Source organism: Homo sapiens, chromosome 19 (assembly GCF_000001405.40).
Source record: "Homo sapiens chromosome 19, GRCh38.p14 Primary Assembly".
Lineage (NCBI taxonomy): Eukaryota > Metazoa > Chordata > Mammalia > Primates > Hominidae > Homo > Homo sapiens.
In genome coordinates this window covers 48,794,238-48,812,977 of record NC_000019.10, presented here as the reverse complement: position 1 = coordinate 48,812,977, position 18,740 = coordinate 48,794,238, and the positions used below count along the sequence as shown (strand labels likewise).

Below are 18,740 nucleotides of genomic sequence, written 5' to 3'. Positions count from 1 at the left end.
GAGTCCTTCTGCCCCACTTAGCCCTTGCACCCCAGACCCACAAGTTGCCTCGACCCTGAAGGACTGCAGCTCCCCCCGCCCCCCAACCCCAGGCCTTGCAGCAAGCAGGTGCCTGATGTTGCTAGCCCTGTCGCTGTCGCCAGGGGCTCCTGGGAAGGGTAGAGCGGTTTGGCTTCACCAGCGCGCTAACTAAAGGCCCGCAGGGGAGAGTAAATTAAGCGCTAATTAGGAGGTAATGGAGGGGGAGACGCAGAAGGCCCTCTTACTCTTGGCCCTCAGGGAAAAGGAGTTTTCCTCTCACTGCCTGTAGAATAGGAAGGTGGCTGGCAAGAAAAGTCCAAAGGGAAGAGAAAGTAGGGGGTTGAGACATCTGGATCAGAGGGAGGAGGGGCTGAAACTCCTGGGTTTTGGTCCGCAGGGCACTGGGGGACGCAGACTCCCCAGCTGGACCCAGGGGGGGGGCAGGGCCCGGGTGCGCTGGCGTCCCCCAGGTGAGGGGTGGAGCTGCAGGGCTGCTGCGGATTGGCTGTGGCCGGGGGGGCGTGTGCACCAACCGCTGATTGGCCGCGGCGGGGGCGGGAGCTGTCAGTGGGCCCCGACCCTACAGCCCGGGGCTGGCGGGTGGGGCAGGAGGACTGGGGCGGAGCGCAGAAAAACAGGGCGACGCCCTGTGAGGGAAGGGTCCCGCGGTTTGGCTGTTTGGGCCTGTGGCTGTTAGGGGTGGCAGGATAGTGACCCGGGGACAGGACTTGGGGGCACTGTGGGGGTAGAATTTGGAGACAGAGTGTCCCAGGGTAGGATTGCCGAGACACGATGGCCGAGGGATACGATTTTTTTTTTTTTTTTTTAATTTGAGACGGAGTCTCACTCTGTCGCCCAGGCTGGAGTGCTGTGGTGCAATGTCGGCTCACTGCAACCTCCGCCTCCCGGGTTCAAGCGATTCTCCTGCCTCAGCCTCCCGAATAGCTGGGATTACAGGCCCCCGGCACCACGCTCGACTAATTTTTGTATTTTTATGTATTTATTTTTATTTATTTATTTATTTTGAGACGGAGTCTCACCCTGTCACCCAGGCTGGAAATGCAGTGGCGCGATCTCGGCTCACCGCAACGTCCGCCTCCAGGGTTCAAATGATTCTCCTGCCTCAGCCTCCCTAGTAGCTGGGATTACAGGCGCACACCACCACACCCGGCTAATTTTTGTATCTTTAGTAGAGACGGGGTTTCACCATGTTGGTCAGGCGGGTCTTGAACTCCTGACCTTGTGATCCGCCCACCTCGGCCTCCCAAAGTGCTGGGATTACAGGCGTAAGCCACCGTGCCTGGCCTTAATTTTTGTATTTTTAGTAGAGACGGGGTTTCCCCATGTCGGCCAGGCTGGTCTTGAACTCCTGGCCTCAGGTGATCCACCCGCCTTGGCCCCCAAAGTGCTGGGATTACAGGTGTGAGCCACCAAGCCAGGACTTTTTTTTTTTTTTTTTTTTGAGACGGAGTCTCACTCTGTCGCCCAGGCTGGAGTGCAGTGGCATCATCTCGGCTCACTGCAACCTCTGCCTCCCCGATTCAAGCAATTCTCCTGCCTCAGCTTTCCGAGTAGCTAAGATTACAGGCGCCCGCCACCACGCCCGGCTAATTTTTTGTATTTTTAGTAGAGACGGGGTTTCATCATGTTGGACCAGGCTGGTCTCTAACTCCTGACCTCAGGTAATCCGCCCGCTTCGGCCTCCCAAAGTGCTAAGATTACAGACCTGAGCCACTTCGCCTGGCAGGGACCGTATTTCAAGTCCTGCCCTCCCACCAGCGCCTGCGCCCCGCAGCAGTGTCCGGCTCCCTGCCGACGCCCTGGAGCTGGGACGGCCTGGGGCGCTGGTCGGCCGCCTTCCCCCAGAAGGAGGCGTGAGCGGGGCGTGGCCGGAACGTCTCTCTTCGGAGCCGCGCCCCGGGCGGGCACAGTTACGCGCCGCACGGATCATGGCCGCAGCCGCTCTGGGGCAGGTGGGTTCGCAGCCCCGCGCCGGGGTCTGGGAAATAACCGGGGGAGGCGCACTTCCGGGAAGACCACTGGCCTGCAGCCGGTCCGACTCGGCGCCGCTCCTCCCGCCCTGGGGTTCCGCTGCAGGGCGCGGAGGAGGATGGCGCCCTTTGGAAAGGAGCACGAGGCTTTAATGGGGTGAGGGGGAGCAGGTAGACGCGGATGAGGTGGGGCAAGTAATTGGCGGGGAGGTAAAAAAAAAAAAAAAAAGGGAAACATGGTGGAGGACCCTGTAATGAGGGAGGCGTGGGGGTGGGGAGGTTGTGATTTGGGGAGCGGAGCCCTGGGGTGCGGTGGGGCATCAGCCTGTGCGGGAGCTGGAATAAAGGGGCCCAGACCTCCAGGGCCGGGTGCAGGTGAAGGCAGAGTTGGACCTCAAGTCTCAGCTCTGGGAATTGGACTCAAGGTCCTATTTTCTTGGAATGAAAGTTGAAAAAAATAAGAGATGGGGATTGCTGTGCTTCCCAAACTCCTATCTGAAGCTTTGCACCTGGATTGGAAATCGAGGCAGCGTCTCATGGTCAAAGTGACAGATGCTGCAGGCTGGCTGAGACGATCCCTTCTGACTGTGCGATGTCAAACAGCAGCAGCGTTTCCCAGAGTCTATGATTTCAGAGAACAAGGTTTCTCAGTGAGGAAGGAAACAGCCAAAGAAAGGGGTCATTACAAGCCTTCACAGCTGCGGTGTAACCTTGGGAGAACTGTCTGTTAACTTTACACCTGACTTTATTTGAGTCTCTTATCCTAGCTGATGAATGTCAGGGCAGAATTTCACTTTTTTCGGCTCTTAGTGACTGATAGGGATAGTCCTGGGATACCTGGGGTATGTGGGCAATCTGGGCTTTAGTGGTGACACTCCTGGACTGTGGTGGGGCAGTACTGGGCTTTGACAGGTCCACTTGGGACTGATGTGGACCGTCTCATCATGGCACAGTTCTGGTGTCATAGAATGGCCCTGAACTCATGATGGGACATTCCTAGGCTCTGATGAAGATAGAGATATCCTGTAATGGAGATAATTGGGCTGAGTCCTCAGCTGTGATGGGGACAGTCCCGGGGTGTGGAGAGGACAGTGCTGGACCATGGTAGGGACAGTCTGGAAGGTACTGGCCTAGACAGCAACATAGGGATAGTCCTGGGGATTGAAAAAGACAACAATGGGATTTTTTTTTTTTTTTTAATTTCAGACCTGGTGAATAGGAAATAAGCCCTGATATTTGGCAGAGACAATGCTGGTTATAATGGGGAAAAGTGCTGGGCTTTGGATAGGGGACATTCCTGAGCTGTTTGGGACAGTACTTGGCTCTGCTGGGGACCAGTTCTGATAAGTTACAGGCACAATCTGGACTTGTGATGTGGAGCATCTTGGGCCATCATAGAACAGCCCTGGTCTGTGATGGGGGAGAGTCCTGGGCTATAAAGGGGGCAGTTCTAGACGTGATGGGGTCATGTGTGGGCTGTGACAAGGGCAGACTGCGGTATGATGGGGTCTCTCCGGGGCCGTGATATGGGGACAGTCCTGGAGTATGGAGGGCACTGCTGGGCTTTGACAGTGACACTCCTGGTCTTTGATGGTGATACTCCTGGGCTGTATGGGACATAATGGAGGTTCTATCACATTATAGAGACCTGCCCTGTGAACCCCCAAACGTACTTTATTTCTTTGTCTCGTCTTTTCTTTTTGACCGAGTCTTGCTCTGTTGCTCAGGCTGGAGTGCCGTGGCACGATCTCGGCTCACTGTAACCTCCGCCTCATGGGTTCAAGTGACTGTGGTGCCTCAGCCTCCCGAGTAGATGGGCTCAAGCGATCCACCTGCCTCAGATTACAGGCATGAGCCACCATGCTGGTCTTTTTTTTTTTTTTTTTTTTTTTTTTTTTTGAGAGACACTCTATCACTCATGCTGGAGTGTAGCAGTGTGATCGTAGCTCACCACAGCCTTGACCAGTAGGTCAAGGTGATCCTCCCACCTTAGCCTTCTGAGTAACTGGAATTACAGGTGTGTGCCACCATACCTGGCTAATTTTTAAATTGTTTGTAGAGACAGGGTCTTGCTATATTGCCCAGGCTGATCTTGAACTCCTGGCCTCATGCAGTCCTCCCACCTCTGTCTCCTAAAGTGCTGTGATTACAGGCATGAGCTACTGAGCCAGCTGCCTACTTTCTTTCTTTGTTTTTTTTCTTTTTAATTGAGACAGAGAGTCTTGCTCTGTCGCCCAGGCTGGAGTGCAGTGGCACCATCTCGGCTCACTGCAACCTCCGCCTCCTGGGTTTAAGCAATTCTCCTGCCTCAGCTTCCCAAGTTGCTGGGACTACAGGCGCCCGCCACCACACCCAGCTAACTTGTATTTTCTGTAGAGACAGGGTCTCCCTATGTTGCCCAGGCTGGTCTTGAACACCTGGCCTCAAGCTATCCTCCTGCCTCGGCCTCCCACAGTGCTGGGATTACAGGCGCGAGCCACTGCGTGTGGCCTCTTTCTATGATTAGATCTATTTTGGCATCTCTTGTTTCTTGGCGTCAATTTCTGTTTTTGTTTTTTTTTTTTTCTGTTTGTGCGCCCCTTTCTGTGTTTCTTTTTCTCATCCTTCCTCTTCCATCTCTTACTCTCTTTTTTTCATCTTGGCTCTGAGGGCAGCTCTCCTGCCCACAGGCTGGCTGTCGCACTGTGTTTGTGTCTCTCATACTGTGGGTGTCCTATCCCTCTGGGCAGAAGCATGGCTGCAAGGCTGAGCAGTCTAGATGTCGCCACCCAAAGGCAATCTGGGGACCCACGCTCTGATCACCCCGGAATCCCTGGAGCCTCACACCAGCAAGACCACGCTGCAGGCCCATCTCCCAGCAACTCACCTAGCGACAAGTGACCACGCCCATTCACGTCCATCTTCCAGAATCAGTGCCAACTCACCCAGCTCACAGGGCAGGCCAGGCCAGGCCACTCTGTCTCTCTCAACCTCACGCCCCAACGCCTCCCCACAGGGCTGGGGAAAGAGGCCTTGTGAGGTCAAAGGTCACCAGAGAGGGCCCAGCCTGCTGGACACAGCCAGACCTGCTCTTCCTACTCCCCTCTGGGAGGACCCGCCTGAGCCTCATGCAGTGAGGACTGCAGTGGCTCCCCAGGCCCCTGTAGCTGCCCCTCAGCCCCAGGGGCTGAAGGGAATTGGAGTCACTGCCAAAATGGGTTTGTATTTCAGGTAATCAGAGCCCAGTTGATCGAATACCTTCAGAGAATAAGCACCTGTACTCCTGGGTCTGGCGGAGGAGGGGCTGGGGAACTGGACTCCTGGGTCTGAGGGAGGAGGGGTGGGGCCTGTACTCCTGGATGTAAGGGAGGAGGGTCTGAGGCCTGGACTCCAGGGTCTGAGGGAGGAGGGGCTGGGGGCCCAGACTTCGGGTCTGAGGGAGGAGGCAGCTAGAGTCTGGACTCTTACTTAGGTCTGAGGGAGGCGGGCCTGGGGTCTGCACCCCTGAGCTCTGGGGGAGCAGGACCTGTCGGTCCTTGGTCTTCTAAGGCCTGTCAGCACTTGGGTACCCGGAGGCCTTCACTTACCTGTGTGCCTTCCCTGGTTGTTTTCTTGTCTGAGCTGATCTCCAGGCTGCGACCAAAGGTCTCTGGGGTGGGAGGCGCTTGCGTTTGACTTTGCCGCAGCATGGAGGAGGGGGCGGGAGCTGACTCAGCTCTTTCCAGCGAGCCCTCGTCAGGGCAGGGAGGGGACTTGGCCTCCTTCAGGACCACCTGCCCCGTCTAGAATGGACTGAAACTGGGACAGAACAGGCAGGCCAGTGGGACCTCCAAGTGCAGGAGGTGGCGAGCGAGCTGCCAGGGCCCCTGCTGTGCCCCACTCACCCCCTCTCTCACTTCTTTCTCCACCCAGATCTGGGCACGAAAGCTTCTCTCTGTCCCTTGGCTTCTGTGTGGTCCCAGAAGATATGCCTCCTCCAGTTTCAAGGTGAAAGGAGGGAACTCGATGCTTGGCTCTGAGAGAGGAGGGGGCTGGCAGCTGGTTTTGGGCATCTCCAAAAGGTCCACAGCCCAGAGATGGCAGTGAGTGGTGGTAGCTTAACAGCCTGCCATTGGGCCGCAGACAAGGGATGAAACTGCATGTCCCAGAATCCTCCAGGGTGACAGGTCCTTCTTCTCTATGGGTCTGAGGCCCAGGGCTTCATGGGAGTTGTAGTTTTTCAGCTGGGAGGTTGTGGCCAGATTCTAGGATACCCCTGTCTTTCCTCAGGCTGCAGACCTGCAGCTGGAAATGACACAGAAGCCTCATAAGAAGCCTGGCCCCGGCGAGCCCCTGGTGTTTGGGAAGACATTTACCGACCACATGCTGATGGTGGAATGGAATGACAAGGGCTGGGGCCAGCCCCGAATCCAGCCCTTCCAGAACCTCACGCTGCACCCAGCCTCCTCCAGCCTCCACTACTCCCTGCAGGTGGCATGGCGGCCGGCCTCTCTCCCTGTCCCTGTCTGCATCTCCTCCTCCTTGCTGTGTCTCTTGCCAGGTGTACCTCTCTTGGTTTGTTTGTTGTGTGTTTCTCCTTTCTGTGCATTCACCATTTGTTTTCTGAGGCCTTCCATGCTCCAGGCTCATGCTTGGTGATGCTGGGTTCCCCGAGATGAGCAGACCCGGTTCCTTCACTTGGAAAACCCCATGCTGTGGGCATAACTCAGTATGATCTGTGCTCTGATGGAGGCCCTGTGGAGGCCAGTAGAGACCCCCAGCCTCACTTGAAAGAAAGCATGGCTTCTTCTGGCATAGAGGGAAGCTTAGAGGGGGATGGTGGGAGAGGTGACAGGGTGATGGTAGGAAAGGGGACAGCCGGGGGGCTGGCGGGAGAGGGACAGCCAGGATGATCGCGGGAGAGGGGACAGCCATTGGGGGGGGAGATGGTGGGGGAGGGCACAGCCAGGGGGATGGCTGGAGAGGGGACAGCCAGGGGAGGGATGGCGGGAGAGGGGACAGTCAGGGGAGGGATGGCGGGAGAGGGGACAGCCAGGGGAGGGATGGCGGGAGAGGGGACAGCCAGGGGAGGGATGGCGGGAGAGGGGACAGCCAGGGGAGGGATGGCGGGAGAGGGGACAGCCAGGGGAGGCATGGTGGGAGAGGGGACAGCCAGGGGAGGGATGGCGGGAGACGGACAGCCGGGGGAGGGATGGCGGGAGACGGACAGCCGGGGGAGGGATGGCAGGAGAGGGACAGCCGGGGGAGGGATGGCGGGAGAGGGACAGCCGGGGAAGTGATGGTGGGAGAGGGCCAGCCGGGGGAGGGATGGCAGGAGAGGAGACAGCCCAGGGGGGATGGCGGGAGAGGGGACAGTTGGAGATGGCGGGAAGGGGGACAGTCGGTGGGGGATGGCAGGAGTGGAGACAGCCAATCCAAACCCCAAACGGGAGTAGAGCCTGGTACATTTGGGAGAAATTGCGGTGTTGGAGCATGGTTAAGGAGGCTGAAAATGTCAGGGCCATGGAGGAGCTGAGGGGCTGGGGCCTTGTCCAAGGGTGCTGGGAGCCACTGAGGGCTCTGAGGAAGGGAGGGGCAGGGCCATGTCTGGGTATAGTAAGAGCCCTCTCAGGCCATGTGGAGGGCAAGAGTTGCAGGCTAGGAAGCCGGGCTGGTGACCAGGTAGACCTTGGGCCTGTCCCCACATGGGGACCCAGGAGGAGGAGCGGCTTTGTGGCACCTGGTGAGCCTGAGATACTGTGAAGTTTCTAGGAGACAGATCCAGGAGGCATTTGGTTTTAGGACTTATAGCTGCGGCTGAAAGCAAGGTCTTCAGAAGGAAACTTTGGTTGAGACAAGATTTAAGTGAGCATCTTACAGCTCCAGTAACTGGTTAGCAGGTTGGCTGATTTTAGTCCTCCAGGGCACAGTTCTGTGGCATGAAGACTTTTATTCCATTCCTTTCTTTCCTTTCCCTCCCTCCCTCTGTTTTTTCCTTTCTTCCTTCCTTTCCAGAATTTTAAGGTTTTGTTTTTTCCCCTCTCCCCTCCCACTCTGGACATCTAAGCAACACCAGTCGATTCTGTACAGAGCACACACACCTCCAATCACAGCCAGACACTCCTGCCAGTACATAAGCGTGATGGGCAGGATTCCGCCTGCTGAGCCCCCAGGAAGCTGGTTACTTGGAGACCACCACACACTTCTCCCTTCAGCCCAGCACAGCAGTTGTCCTCTGGCTGGGGACCCAGTACTTTTTCTTCAGCTGAGTGAGAGCAGAGGAAGCCTGTGGCCCTGGCAGACAGAACGCACTGCTGTGATCCCGCGGGTCCAGGGGGCGGAAGGGGGAGGATGAGGGAGTAGGACAATGCTGTCCCTATGTCACCCACACTCCAGGGCATGTGTGGATTGCAGGCCGACCACGTGTATTATTTTTTATTTTATTTTTTCTTATTTATTTATTTAGAGACAGAGTCTCACTCTGTCCCCCAGGTTGGAGTGCAATGATACAATCTCGCTCACTGCAACCTCCGCCTCCCGGGTTCAAGTGATTCTCCTGCCTCAGCCTCCCCAGTAGCTGGGATTACAGGCGCCCGCCACCACACCCGGCTAATTTTTGTATTTTTAGTAAAGCCAGGGTTTCACCATGTTGGCCAGGCTGTTTTCGAACTCCTGGCCTCAAGTGATCTGCCCACCTCAGCCTCCCAAAGTGCTGGGATTGCAGGCGTGAGCCACCATGCCTGGCCTTATTTTTTATTATTGTGGTACTAATACGCATACATAATAACACACAGCATCAAATGTGGGATTCCAACCATTTTATTTGTTTGTTTGTTTGTTTATTTATTTATGAGATAGAGTTTCACTCTTGTTGCCCAGGCTGGAGTGCAGTGGCACAATCTTGGCTCACTGCAACCTCTGCCTCCCAGGTTCAAGTGATTCTCCTGCCTCAGCCTCCTGAGTAGCTGGGATTATAGACATGCACCACTATTGGCTAATTTTTGTATATTTAGTAGAGACACGGTTTCACCACGTTGGCCAGGCTGGTCTCAAACTCCCGACCTCAGATGATCCACCGCCTCATCCTCCCAAAGGGCTGGGATTACTGGCGTGAGCCACGGCGCCCAGCCTCCAACCATTTTAAAGCCCATAATTCAGTGGCAGGCAATGTTATGCAACCATCAGCACCATCAAGGTTCAGAACTGTTTAATCCCCCATACCTATTAATCAGTACCCATTGTCCCTCACCCCAGCCCATGACAACCATTAGTCTGCTTTCTGTCTTTGTCTACCTGTATTTGTTTATTTATTATCTTTAAATAATAGGGATGGGGTTTCACCATGTTACCCAGGCTGGTTTTGAACTCCTGAGCTCAAGTGATCCACCTGCTTCGGCCTCCCAAAGTGCTGGGATTACAGGCGTGAGTCACCAAGCCTGGCCACCTGCATTTTTGTTGTTGTTGTTATGACTCTTTTTTTGAGAAAGGGTCTTGCTCTGTAGCCCAGGCTGGAGTGCAGTGGCACGATCTTGGCTCACTGCAGCCTTGACCTCCCAGGCTCCAGCGATCCACCTGCGTCAGCCTTCCAAGTAGCTGGGACTGCAGGTGTGCACCACCATGCCCAGCTAATTTTTATTTTATTTTATTTTTTTTTAGGGATGGGGTCTTGTTATGTTGCCCAGGGTGATCTCAGATTTCTAAGCTCAAGTGATCCTCCTGCCTCAGCCTCCCAAAGTCCTGGGATTGCAGGCATGAGCCACTATATCCGGTGTATCCGGGCTCTTTTACCTGGGTTTTGTTTTGTTTTGTTTTTGAGACGGTGTCTTGCTCTGTTTCCCAGGCTGGAGTGCAGTGGCATGGTCTCAGCTCACTGCAACCTCCGCCTCCTAGGCTCAAGTGATCCTCCTGCCTCTGCCTCCCGAGTGGCTAGGACTACAGGCACACACCACCTTGCCCAGTTAATTTTTAAATCTTGTGCAAAGACAGGATCTCACTTTGTTGCCCAGGCTGGTCTCGAACTCCTGGCTTCAAGCAATTCTCCCACCTTAGCCTCCCAGTTCTGGGGTTACAGGTATGAGCCATCATACTGGGCCTGGAAATTCTTCTCTATACCTTAAAGCTTAAAGAGCTTTTTCCATCTTTCTTGCAGCCTCATGCTGTATCATCCTAACAATGCACCTCCTTAGGCAATCCCCTACTGTTGGACACTTAGGTTGTTTCCAGTCTATTATAAACAATTTTGCAATAAAGAATCTAGTACAGGGCCGGCTGTGATGGCTCACCTGCAATCCCAGCACTTTGGGAGGCTGAGGCAGGTGGGTCACCTGAGGTCAGGAGTTCAAGACCAGCTTTGCCAACATGGTGAAACCCCATCTCTACTAAATATACAAAAATTAGCTGGGTGTGGTGGCGGGTGCCTGTAATCCCAGGTACTCGGGAGGCTGAGGCAGGAGAATTGCTTGAACCCGGGAGGCGGAGGTTGCAGTGAGCCGAGATTGCGCCACTGCACTCCAGCCTGGGTGGCAGAGTGAGACTCCATCTCAAAAAAAAAAAAAAAAAAAAAAAAGGAATCCAGTACACACGTCCCTTCTTTAGTCACTTGTTTAAGTGCAAATGTATCTAGAGGCTCAATTTCGGGAACTGTAGGTCAAAGGATATGTATGCTTGTAATCTTGATACGTATCGCCACATCTACATCTACAGGGTGTGTCAGTTTCCACACCCACCAGCAGAGCCTGTTTCCATACCTTGGACAACCCTTGTCCAAGTTTTAGATCTTTTCCAATCTCCCATGTGGTTTTAAAGGTATCTCAAACTAATTTTAATTTGCATTTTTCTCCCTAGTGATTAATGAAATTGACTATCTTCTCACGAGCTTAAGGGCCACCTGTATTTCCTTTTGTGTGAACTGTCCATTTGCTAGGCTGATTTTTCTATCAGGTTAGGTTTTAAAAAATTCATCTGGGGCTGGGAAGAAGAGGCAGGGGGATTGCTTGAGCTCAGGAGTTCAAGACCAGCCTGGGCAACATAGTAAGACCCTATCTGTACAAGAAATTGGAAAAAAAAAAAAAGTCCAGTCGTGGTGGCTCACGCCTGTAATCCCAGCACTTTGGGAGGCCGAGGTGGGCGCATCACCTGAGGTCAGGAGTTCAAGACCAGCCTGGCCAACGTGGTGAAACCCCGTCTCTACCAAAAACACAAAAATTAGCCGGGCGTGGTTGTAGGCACCTGTAATCCCAGCTACTTGGGAGGTTGAGGCAAAAGAATTGCTTGAACCTGGGAGGTAGAGGTTGCAGTGAGCCAAGATAGAGCACTTCAGCCTGGGCAACAGAGTGAGACTCCATCTCAAATAAAATAAAAAATAAAATTCCCAATCCAAGATATAAAACAGTTATTTTTGTTTCCTTCTATAGCTTTTATGGTGTAATATATATATATATATTTTGTTTAGACTTTTAATGCACCTGGAATTTTTTCTGGTGTGAGGTGTGAAATAGAGATTCAACGTAGTTTTTCTCTAGATGGATATTTGGTTATCTATTCCATTATTCAGTCTGTCCACTCATATAGCAGTGTCACTCTGTTTTAAGTATTGTAGATTTATAATGTTTTACTACCTGATATGGCTACTCCCTGCCCCTGCCCCATCTTGCCCCTCATTTTTGTGGTGGTGGTTTTTATCCCCCCAAAATATTGTAGCTAGTTTTGCTTGTCTTCCATTCATTTATCTATTCATTCATCAAAAACCCACTATGGGAAAAAAAAAAAAAGTCTGGCTGGGTGCAGTGGCTCACCCCTGTAATCCTAGCACTTTGGGAGGCTGAGGCGGGTGGATCAACTAAAAATACAAAAATTAGCTGGGCGTGGTGGTGGGCGCCTGTAATCCCAGCTACCCAGGAGGCCGAGGCACAAGAATCACTTGGACCTGGGAGGCGGAGGTTGCAATCAGCAGAGATCACGCCACTGCACTCCAGCCTGGGTGACAGAGTGAGACCCTGTCTCAAAACAAAACAAAACAAAACAAAACAAAAAAACACTCTGTGCCAAGCGCTGCCTACCCTGGTGCATGGGACTGCAGGAGAGGCTGTCTGGTAAACGTGTCAAGGGTAATCCCTGCCTTCCAGGCTCTTCCACTCTGCAGTGGAGCAGATGCTGAACAAGCAAACTTGGAACCATGGGGCAGTGATCAGGGACAGAGTCTCCAGAAAAAAAAAACTAGGTCCCAGGCTGGAGTGCAGTGGCATGATCGTGGCTCACTGCAGTCTCAAACTCCCAGGCTCAAGTGATCCTCCCACCACCTTCCAAATACCTGGGACTCCAGTCACGTGCTACCACGTCTGGCTAATTTTCGTATTTTTTGGTAGAGATGGGGTCTTGCTATAATGCCTGGGCTGGTCACGAACTCCTACACTCAAGTGATCCTCCTGCCTCGGCCTCCCAAAGTGCTGGGATTACAGTGAGCCACTGAGCCCGGTCGTGTCCTTTGCTTTCTAGAGTCTCCGTGTGTCTCTACCTGTTTGTCTCCCTGTCTATATCTGTCTCTCTTTTTCTCCATCTCTCTGACCCAGCTGCTAAATCTCCCCGGTGCTCTCCTCTTGGCCTCCATCTTTCAGTTGTCTGTGTCTTTGTGTATCTGTCTCTGTCTGTCTTGGTGTCTCTCATGACTGTCTGGAGAAGTCTCTGAGCCTCCCCACCCGCGTGTCCCCGCAGCTGTTTGAGGGCATGAAGGCGTTCAAAGGCAAAGACCAGCAGGTGCGCCTCTTCCGCCCCTGGCTCAACATGGACCGGATGCTGCGCTCAGCCATGCGCCTGTGCCTGCCGGTGAGGGGTCCCGGTCCACCGGGGTGGGGAGGAGGGCTGGGGCCGGGGCAGCAAGGGCCCCTTGACTCATTCAGAATCCCACCCAGAGTTTCGACAAGCTGGAGTTGCTGGAGTGCATCCGCCGGCTCATCGAAGTGGACAAGGACTGGGTCCCCGATGCCGCCGGCACCAGCCTCTATGTGCGGCCTGTGCTCATTGGGAACGAGGTGGGCCCAACTCCAGGGCTGGGAAGCTGGGCTGCGGGGGTTGGATTCTGCAGGGCAGGGGTGGGGTCCTGGAGGCCTGGGCCTGGGGACGGGAAGGGACTGGGGGCCTGGACTCCTGACGCTGTCCCTTTGCCCGTCGCAGCCCTCGCTGGGTGTCAGCCAGCCCACGCGCGCGCTCCTGTTCGTCATTCTCTGCCCAGTGGGTGCCTACTTCCCTGGAGGCTCCGTGACCCCGGTCTCCCTCCTGGCCGACCCAGCCTTCATCCGGGCCTGGGTGGGCGGGGTCGGCAACTACAAGTTAGGTGGGTAAGTAGCACCCCCATCCCCAGAACGACTGGCGCACTGGGCGTTGGAGACACAGGGACCAGCGTGCGTGCTTTCGGCCATGCCTCTGGATGTCACATGAAGGTGACATCATCAGCACCGTGCAGGGCTCAGTGCTAAGTGACCTCCCTGGTCCCTGAAAACAAACCATGGAAGGAAGGAGGAGGGGATTATTTTTCAGATGGACAAAAAGGCTCACAGATGGGAAGGCATTGGGTGGAGGTCAGTGGGGAAACCAGGACTGGTCCCTGGAAGCCTCCAGGAGTGAAGCTTACACTCAGCTCATTGGCTTCTCGCCCCAGAAGCCTCCCCTGATCCCCCAGGCTGGGCTGCGCTCCCCATACCCAGCTCCCACAGTCGTTTGAGCCTCCAAAGCCCCTCACCCCCGTGTGGACTTTCTGTGTAAATCTGTCTCCCAGTGGCCTCAGCTCAGCAGGGCAGGAAGGAGACAGCTGGGTCTCCTGGGCAACCAAGGCAGAGGGTGGGCACTGGCGTGTTGGGACAGGAATGTGGCCCCAGCTGGGGGTGCATTCAGGTCCTTTCAGCCACATCCTGTGAGGTCTCCTGAGGGCCAGGCCCTGTGCTGGCAGAAGCTGGGGACACAGATGAGTCAGCCCCGAGCCCTGCTCTCCTGGGTCTCCCAGGCTGGTGGGAGCCCCAGTATTCGGAGCTGCATGTTCTCTGGTGAGGTGACCCAGGGCATTGTGAAAGCCTTCACAGAGGCCAGAGGCGGTGGCTCACGCCTGTAATCCCAGCACTTTGGGAGGCTGAGGCGGGCAGATCACGAGGTCAGGAGATCGAGACCATCCTGATTAACACAGTGAAACCCCATCTCTACTAAAAATACAAAAAAAAAAAAAAAAAATTAGCCGGGCTTGGTGGCGGGCGCCTGTAGTCGCAGCTACTCAGGAGGCTGAGGCAGGACAATGGCGAGAACCCAGGAGACAGAGCTTGCAGTGAGCCGAGATCGCGCCACTGCACTCCAGCCTGGGCGACAGAGCGAAACTCCATCTCAAAAAAAAAAAAGAAAGGTTTCGCAGAGGAGGCGACCCTTCAACTAGGTCTGACGAGGAGGGAGGAGGGGGTTTCCTGGGTACAAAAGTCAGCAAACTGTTTCCAGTCCTGGGAACCATGTGTACAGGGACAGAAGGAATAGGATCACAGAAGATGTTCAGGTTACAAAAATAAGTTTGGGTTTTGAAAAATGCTTAGCAAGTATTCATTAGACCCAGGCAGGCCTGGAATGCCGGAAGGAGGCTAGGGTCTTGTCCTGGGGCACTGGGGAGCCATGGGAGGCTTGTTAGCAGCTGAGGGGAGAGGCTATCTCTGGGAGAGAGACTCAGAAAGTCATCCAGGTAGCCCAGTTCACTGGGGGAGTCCAGGGAAGGTCCAGCACCCAGCCTGGAGGTCTGGAAACACCTCTCGAGGAGGTGACAACAGAAACGGTTTTGGAGCCAGGCGCGGTAGCTCACGCTTGTAATCCCAGCACTTTGGGAGGCCGAGGTAGGCGGATCACTTGAGGTCAGGAGTTTGAGACCAGCCTGGCCAACATGGTGAAACCCCGTCTCTACTAAAAATATAAAAAGTAAGGCCGGGCGCTGTGGCTCACTCTTGTAATCCCAGCACTTTGGGGGGCTGAGGCGGGCATATAAATATAAATGTGAATATAAATTAGCCGGACATGGTGCTGCATGCCCCAGTTACTCCAGTTACTCAGGAGGCTGAGGCACGAGAATCGCTTGGACCCGAGAGGCGGAGGTTGCAGTGAGCTGAGATCGCACCACTGCACTCTAGCCTCAGCCTGGGCGACAGAGCAAGACTCTGTCTCAAAAAAAAAAAAAAGAAAAAAAGAAAAAAAGAAATGGTTTTGAATGACAGCTGAGGATTTGGTCAGTATGAAATGGGTGAGGGCTGGGCGCGGTGGCTCACGCCTGTAATCCCAGCACTTTGGGAGGCTGAGGCGGGCAGATCACCAGGTCAAGAGAGGCTGAGGCAGGAGAATCTCTTGAACCTGGGAGGCGGAGGTTGCAGTGAGCCAAGATCGCACCACTGCACTCCAGCCTGGGTGACAGAGCGAGACTCCGTCTTAAAAAAAAAAGAAAAGAAAAGAAAGAAAAGTGGGAAGAGACAGGAGAGAGGGGACATAACCATTTAGGGTCCTGATGCCAAATGAAAAGTCAAGGATTCCATCTCAGGGGAACTGGGGAGCCCTGTGAGAGCTGTGAGCAGGGAGACGGGAGAGAGTAGGATGAGCCTCCTCTGGGGCTGGGCTGGGGAAGGATGGGGCTCCCTTGCCCCACCCAACCAGACTGCCCTCCACCAGGAATTATGGGCCCACCGTGTTAGTGCAACAGGAGGCACTCAAGCGGGGCTGTGAACAGGTCCTCTGGCTGTATGGGCCCGACCACCAGCTCACCGAGGTGGGAACCATGAACATCTTTGTCTACTGGACCCACGAAGATGGGGGTAAGCCCACCCATGACCCAGCCCGAACCCTGGTGGAAGTGGGTGGCACCATCATTCCTGGCAGGTTACAGGCCCCAGGGATTCTGGGATGGGGGAAGGGGGTGGCTCTTAAGACGGCGGTGCTAGGGGGTGAGAGGTAACATCTTCCACCCCTTACACCTGCCCTAGTGCTGGAGCTGGTGACGCCCCCGCTGAATGGTGTTATCCTGCCTGGAGTGGTCAGACAGAGTCTACTGGACATGGCTCAGACCTGGGTGAGGACATGGCATCTTCTGGTGATGGGCGCCATGTGCCAGGGGCCAGGGCATCAGAGGGCTGGGACTGGGGCACACTGGCATGTCTCTGCCCCTTCTCCTGGGTCTGTCTCTCCCGTTGGGCCTCTGTCTTTCTCACTATCCTCAGGGAGGGAGAGGTGGAGGTCTGCAGCAGGGCAACCCTCTGGGGACACGTGTCTCTGCCAACTGCCCTGCAGGGTGAGTTCCGGGTGGTGGAGCGCACGATCACCATGAAGCAGTTGCTGCGGGCCCTGGAGGAGGGCCGCGTGCGGGAAGTCTTTGGCTCGGGCACCGCTTGCCAGGTCTGCCCAGTGCACCGAATCCTGTACAAAGACAGGGTGAGGCGGGGCTGCCATTGTGGGTGGGAGGGAAGGAGGGGAGGGGCTTGGTCCTCACCGCACCTTCTGTCCCAGAACCTCCACATTCCCACCATGGAAAATGGGCCTGAGCTGATCCTCCGCTTCCAGAAGGAGCTGAAGGAGATCCAGGTGAGCTGCAGGGAGCTGGGGAATGGGCTGGGAGCTTGTTCCCTGGAGAAGTTGGTGTCCCATGAGCCCCTGGACTAACAGCCAGCCTCCTTCAGTAGTACCAGGAACAGATAATGGCCTTTCTTATTGAGGCCCTGGAGAGTGGGCTTTCTGTGCTGCTCTGTGGCCTGGAAAACCCCTTGGGGCTAAATCACCCTTTCCTGGGAGCTCCCGGAGCCCTGGATATGTCTTCAGCTTTGGAAACCCCTTCCTGTGATCCTCTGCGGCTCCTGGGTGCCCTGGTAGGAGAAACCCCCTCTCCGTGGGCCTCTGAGGCCCCTGGGTGCCCTGGTGGGAGAAACTCCCTCCCTGTGATCCTCTGCTGCCCCGGGTGCCCTGGTGGGAGAAAGGCCCTTTCCATGAATCACTGAGACCTTAGCCAGCCCTCTGGCCATCTCAGAGGTTGGCCTCCCAAGATTCCCTGGAGCCCTGGGCTATCCCTTTGGCCGGAGAAAGCTTCCTCCCATGAGCCTCTGGACCTTGGCCCCTCTCTGGCACCAGACTGTTTAATCCCATAAATCTCTGGGGGTATTCCCATCTTCTGGGCCAAGATCTCTTTCCCAAGAATCTCTGGGCTCCTTTCCCAGACCTAGAGCTACATTTCTGTAAACTTTTGTGCATCAGGACCTAGAACTACACATCCTCTGACTATCTGGGCTTTCTGAGCTGAAAGTGACTTTTTCCAAGAGCCTTAGAGGCCTGGCCATAATTCCTGTCTTCAGAACTACATCTCCCGGAAGCCTCTGCGCCGCCTTAGCCTTGATTCCCCGTTCCCATCATTGTTGGGGCCCTCTGGGAAGTGGACTACATTTCCCGTGAGCCGCTGGGGCACAGCTCCGTAGGCACTCGGCCTGGAACACCCCAGGGCCTACTGGGAGTTGTAGTGCAGCTTCCACCTCACGCACTGCCTCCGTTGTTCCGCAGTACGGAATCAGAGCCCACGAGTGGATGTTCCCGGTGTGAAGCTGCAGGCTGTGCTCCAGATCCACCGACCCGTAGCATCTCGTCACGCCAGCACTCGCCTCCCTACCAATGACTCACCTGAAGTGCAATACGAAATAAAAGGCCAGCGGGCGGCGTCTGGGTCTCTGGCGCCCCCATGTGGTTGCGACACTCCCAAAGCCGTAAGGGCCGACCCAGGCATCTTGGCCCCCAGCCCCTCGTCGCGGGTTCAGGTCCGCCCATTACTCCTTGTCGTGCGGTCAAGGATACACCTTGGCCCCGATTCCGGATCTCTCCGTTCTCAGGCCAGACCCCTGGTGCTGCCGTTGATTTTTTTTTCTCTGTCTTTGCTGCAATTTTGAAATAAAATGCCAAAGAACACACATTGTCGGGCTTCTTCAGTGACGTGACTCTGGGGCTTTAACCCAGGAATCCTGCTTCCTCAGCCCATTTTATTCTGAAGGACTCAGTCATCCGAGCCCCCAGTGTTCTGATGGTTTCTCCAACCTGGGGGAGCATTTCATGTCTCCGGCACTGAACTTACTATCTGCCCCCCACCAACCAGCTCCTCCCCTACTTTCCCGTCTCCCAGTCTCTAGGCCGGACCCCTAGGTGCTGCATCCTTTTCTCTCAAAGCCCACGAGGCCCCGATCCCTGTTCCTCCTGCCCCCGACTCTGCTGTCCGTTCCCCCGCCTCTTTGTCCCCTAGGCCCTGGCCTCAGCTCAGCTGCTGTCTTCTACTGGCACCCTTGTTCCAGCCTGCAGTCTGCTACCTGGCCCAAAGGGTCTTTTCTACACCCAGACGTGGCCCAGTGCCCTCAGCCAGGACTGTAGTCACGGGACCCTAGTGGGTGTGGAGTGAGGCACGATACTCTCACCTGCTGGAGGGATTAAACGTGGAAGAGTTTAGACTGGGTATGGTGACTCCCACCTGCAATTCCAGCACTGTGGGAGGCTGAGGCGGGAGGATTGCTTGAGACCAGGCTGGGCAACACAGTGAGATCCCATCTGTACAGAAAATACAGAAAATTAACCAGGTGAGGTGGCATGTGAGTATAGTCCCAGCTACTCCAGAGGCTGAGGTGGGAGGATTGCCTGAGCCCGGGAGGTTGAGGCTGCAGTGAGCTGTGATTGTGCCACTACACTCCAGCCTGGGTGACAGAGCAAGACTGTCTTGAAAAAAAGGCCAGGCACTGTGGCTCATGCCCG

General features: G+C 55.1%; 1 protein-coding gene and 1 long non-coding RNA gene across 5 annotated transcripts, besides 11 other annotated features; one reads left to right on the top strand and one right to left on the bottom strand.

The window, feature by feature from the left end:
• Window positions 330–870: a transcriptional cis regulatory region, noted in NCBI's record as "intergenic|chr19:49315365-49315905 region (GRCh37/hg19 assembly coordinates) targeted for CRISPR interference". NCBI's record gives its function as "positively regulates BCAT2 gene expression in K562 cells {active_cell/tissue: K562}" and the evidence as "EXISTENCE:mutant phenotype evidence [ECO:0000015][PMID:31784727]".
• Window positions 374–683: a silencer, noted in NCBI's record as "silent region_10903". NCBI's record gives its function as "represses an Ori minimal core promoter by ATAC-STARR-seq in GM12878 lymphoblastoid cells {active_cell/tissue: GM12878}" and the evidence as "EXISTENCE:reporter gene assay evidence [ECO:0000049][PMID:35858748]".
• Window positions 1,732–2,026: an enhancer, noted in NCBI's record as "tiled region #11839; HepG2 Activating non-DNase unmatched - State 18:Pol2, and K562 Activating DNase matched - State 1:Tss". NCBI's record gives its function as "activates a minimal TATA promoter and a strong SV40 promoter by Sharpr-MPRA in HepG2 and K562 cells {active_cell/tissue: HepG2 | K562}" and the evidence as "EXISTENCE:reporter gene assay evidence [ECO:0000049][PMID:27701403]".
• Window positions 1,760–1,979: a silencer, noted in NCBI's record as "silent region_10902". NCBI's record gives its function as "represses an Ori minimal core promoter by ATAC-STARR-seq in GM12878 lymphoblastoid cells {active_cell/tissue: GM12878}" and the evidence as "EXISTENCE:reporter gene assay evidence [ECO:0000049][PMID:35858748]".
• On the top strand, window positions 1,949–17,914 carry BCAT2 (branched chain amino acid transaminase 2). 3 transcript variants are annotated; one of them, NM_001284325.2, is made up of 12 exons: window positions 1,949–1,994; window positions 4,742–5,222; window positions 5,904–5,978; window positions 6,261–6,461; window positions 12,681–12,791; window positions 12,878–12,997; window positions 13,140–13,303; window positions 15,645–15,787; window positions 15,956–16,041; window positions 16,260–16,400; window positions 16,476–16,550; window positions 17,514–17,914. In NM_001284325.2, exons 4-12 carry the CDS (start codon window positions 6,282–6,284, stop codon window positions 17,550–17,552), a joined length of 1,059 nt encoding a protein of 352 aa, NP_001271254.1. In that variant the 5' UTR covers window positions 1,949–1,994; window positions 4,742–5,222; window positions 5,904–5,978; window positions 6,261–6,281; the 3' UTR covers window positions 17,553–17,914. The 3 variants fall into 3 exon arrangements, with proteins under 3 accessions (NP_001271254.1, NP_001181.2, NP_001158245.1); NM_001190.4 differs by lacking the exon at window positions 4,742–5,222; NM_001164773.2 differs by lacking the exons at window positions 4,742–5,222; window positions 5,904–5,978; window positions 6,261–6,461.
• On the bottom strand, window positions 2,141–5,609 carry LOC105372432 (uncharacterized). Of its 2 annotated transcripts, XR_936017.4 has the most exons (3): window positions 5,579–5,609; window positions 4,879–5,009; window positions 2,141–2,634 (listed from the first exon to the last, which is right to left on the bottom strand). It is a non-coding gene; the product is annotated as an uncharacterized LOC105372432 (long non-coding RNA). The 2 variants fall into 2 exon arrangements; XR_007067287.1 differs by having other exon boundaries at window positions 4,879–5,609.
• Window positions 2,300–2,369: an enhancer, noted in NCBI's record as "active region_14908". NCBI's record gives its function as "activates an Ori minimal core promoter by ATAC-STARR-seq in GM12878 lymphoblastoid cells {active_cell/tissue: GM12878}" and the evidence as "EXISTENCE:reporter gene assay evidence [ECO:0000049][PMID:35858748]".
• Window positions 5,815–6,486: an enhancer, noted in NCBI's record as "H3K27ac-H3K4me1 hESC enhancer chr19:49309749-49310420 (GRCh37/hg19 assembly coordinates)". NCBI's record gives its function as "activates a minimal SCP1, AML or CMV promoter by ChIP-STARR-seq in naive H9 embryonic stem cells {active_cell/tissue: H9 hESC(naive)}" and the evidence as "EXISTENCE:reporter gene assay evidence [ECO:0000049][PMID:30033119]".
• Window positions 13,193–13,801: an enhancer, noted in NCBI's record as "H3K27ac-H3K4me1 hESC enhancer chr19:49302434-49303042 (GRCh37/hg19 assembly coordinates)". NCBI's record gives its function as "activates a minimal SCP1, AML or CMV promoter by ChIP-STARR-seq in primed H9 embryonic stem cells {active_cell/tissue: H9 hESC(primed)}" and the evidence as "EXISTENCE:reporter gene assay evidence [ECO:0000049][PMID:30033119]".
• Window positions 13,802–14,410: an enhancer, noted in NCBI's record as "H3K27ac-H3K4me1 hESC enhancer chr19:49301825-49302433 (GRCh37/hg19 assembly coordinates)". NCBI's record gives its function as "activates a minimal SCP1, AML or CMV promoter by ChIP-STARR-seq in primed H9 embryonic stem cells {active_cell/tissue: H9 hESC(primed)}" and the evidence as "EXISTENCE:reporter gene assay evidence [ECO:0000049][PMID:30033119]".
• Window positions 16,223–16,858: an enhancer, noted in NCBI's record as "H3K27ac hESC enhancer chr19:49299377-49300012 (GRCh37/hg19 assembly coordinates)". NCBI's record gives its function as "activates a minimal SCP1, AML or CMV promoter by ChIP-STARR-seq in naive H9 embryonic stem cells {active_cell/tissue: H9 hESC(naive)}" and the evidence as "EXISTENCE:reporter gene assay evidence [ECO:0000049][PMID:30033119]".
• Window positions 17,456–17,635: an enhancer, noted in NCBI's record as "active region_14907". NCBI's record gives its function as "activates an Ori minimal core promoter by ATAC-STARR-seq in GM12878 lymphoblastoid cells {active_cell/tissue: GM12878}" and the evidence as "EXISTENCE:reporter gene assay evidence [ECO:0000049][PMID:35858748]".
• Window positions 17,676–17,745: an enhancer, noted in NCBI's record as "active region_14906". NCBI's record gives its function as "activates an Ori minimal core promoter by ATAC-STARR-seq in GM12878 lymphoblastoid cells {active_cell/tissue: GM12878}" and the evidence as "EXISTENCE:reporter gene assay evidence [ECO:0000049][PMID:35858748]".

What these genes read in the sequence shown, in the direction of transcription:
- BCAT2 (NM_001190.4), top strand. Translation starts at nt 1,971, where the DNA reads ATGGCCGCAGCCGCTCTGGGGCAG. An exon ending in GGCAACTACAAGTTAGGTGG is followed by an intron (nt 13,304 to 15,644) that starts GTAAGTAGCACC and finishes GCCCTCCACCAG; the next exon opens with GAATTATGGGCCCACCGTGT. An exon ending in TGGACATGGCTCAGACCTGG is followed by an intron (nt 16,042 to 16,259) that starts GTGAGGACATGG and finishes ACTGCCCTGCAG; the next exon opens with GGTGAGTTCCGGGTGGTGGA.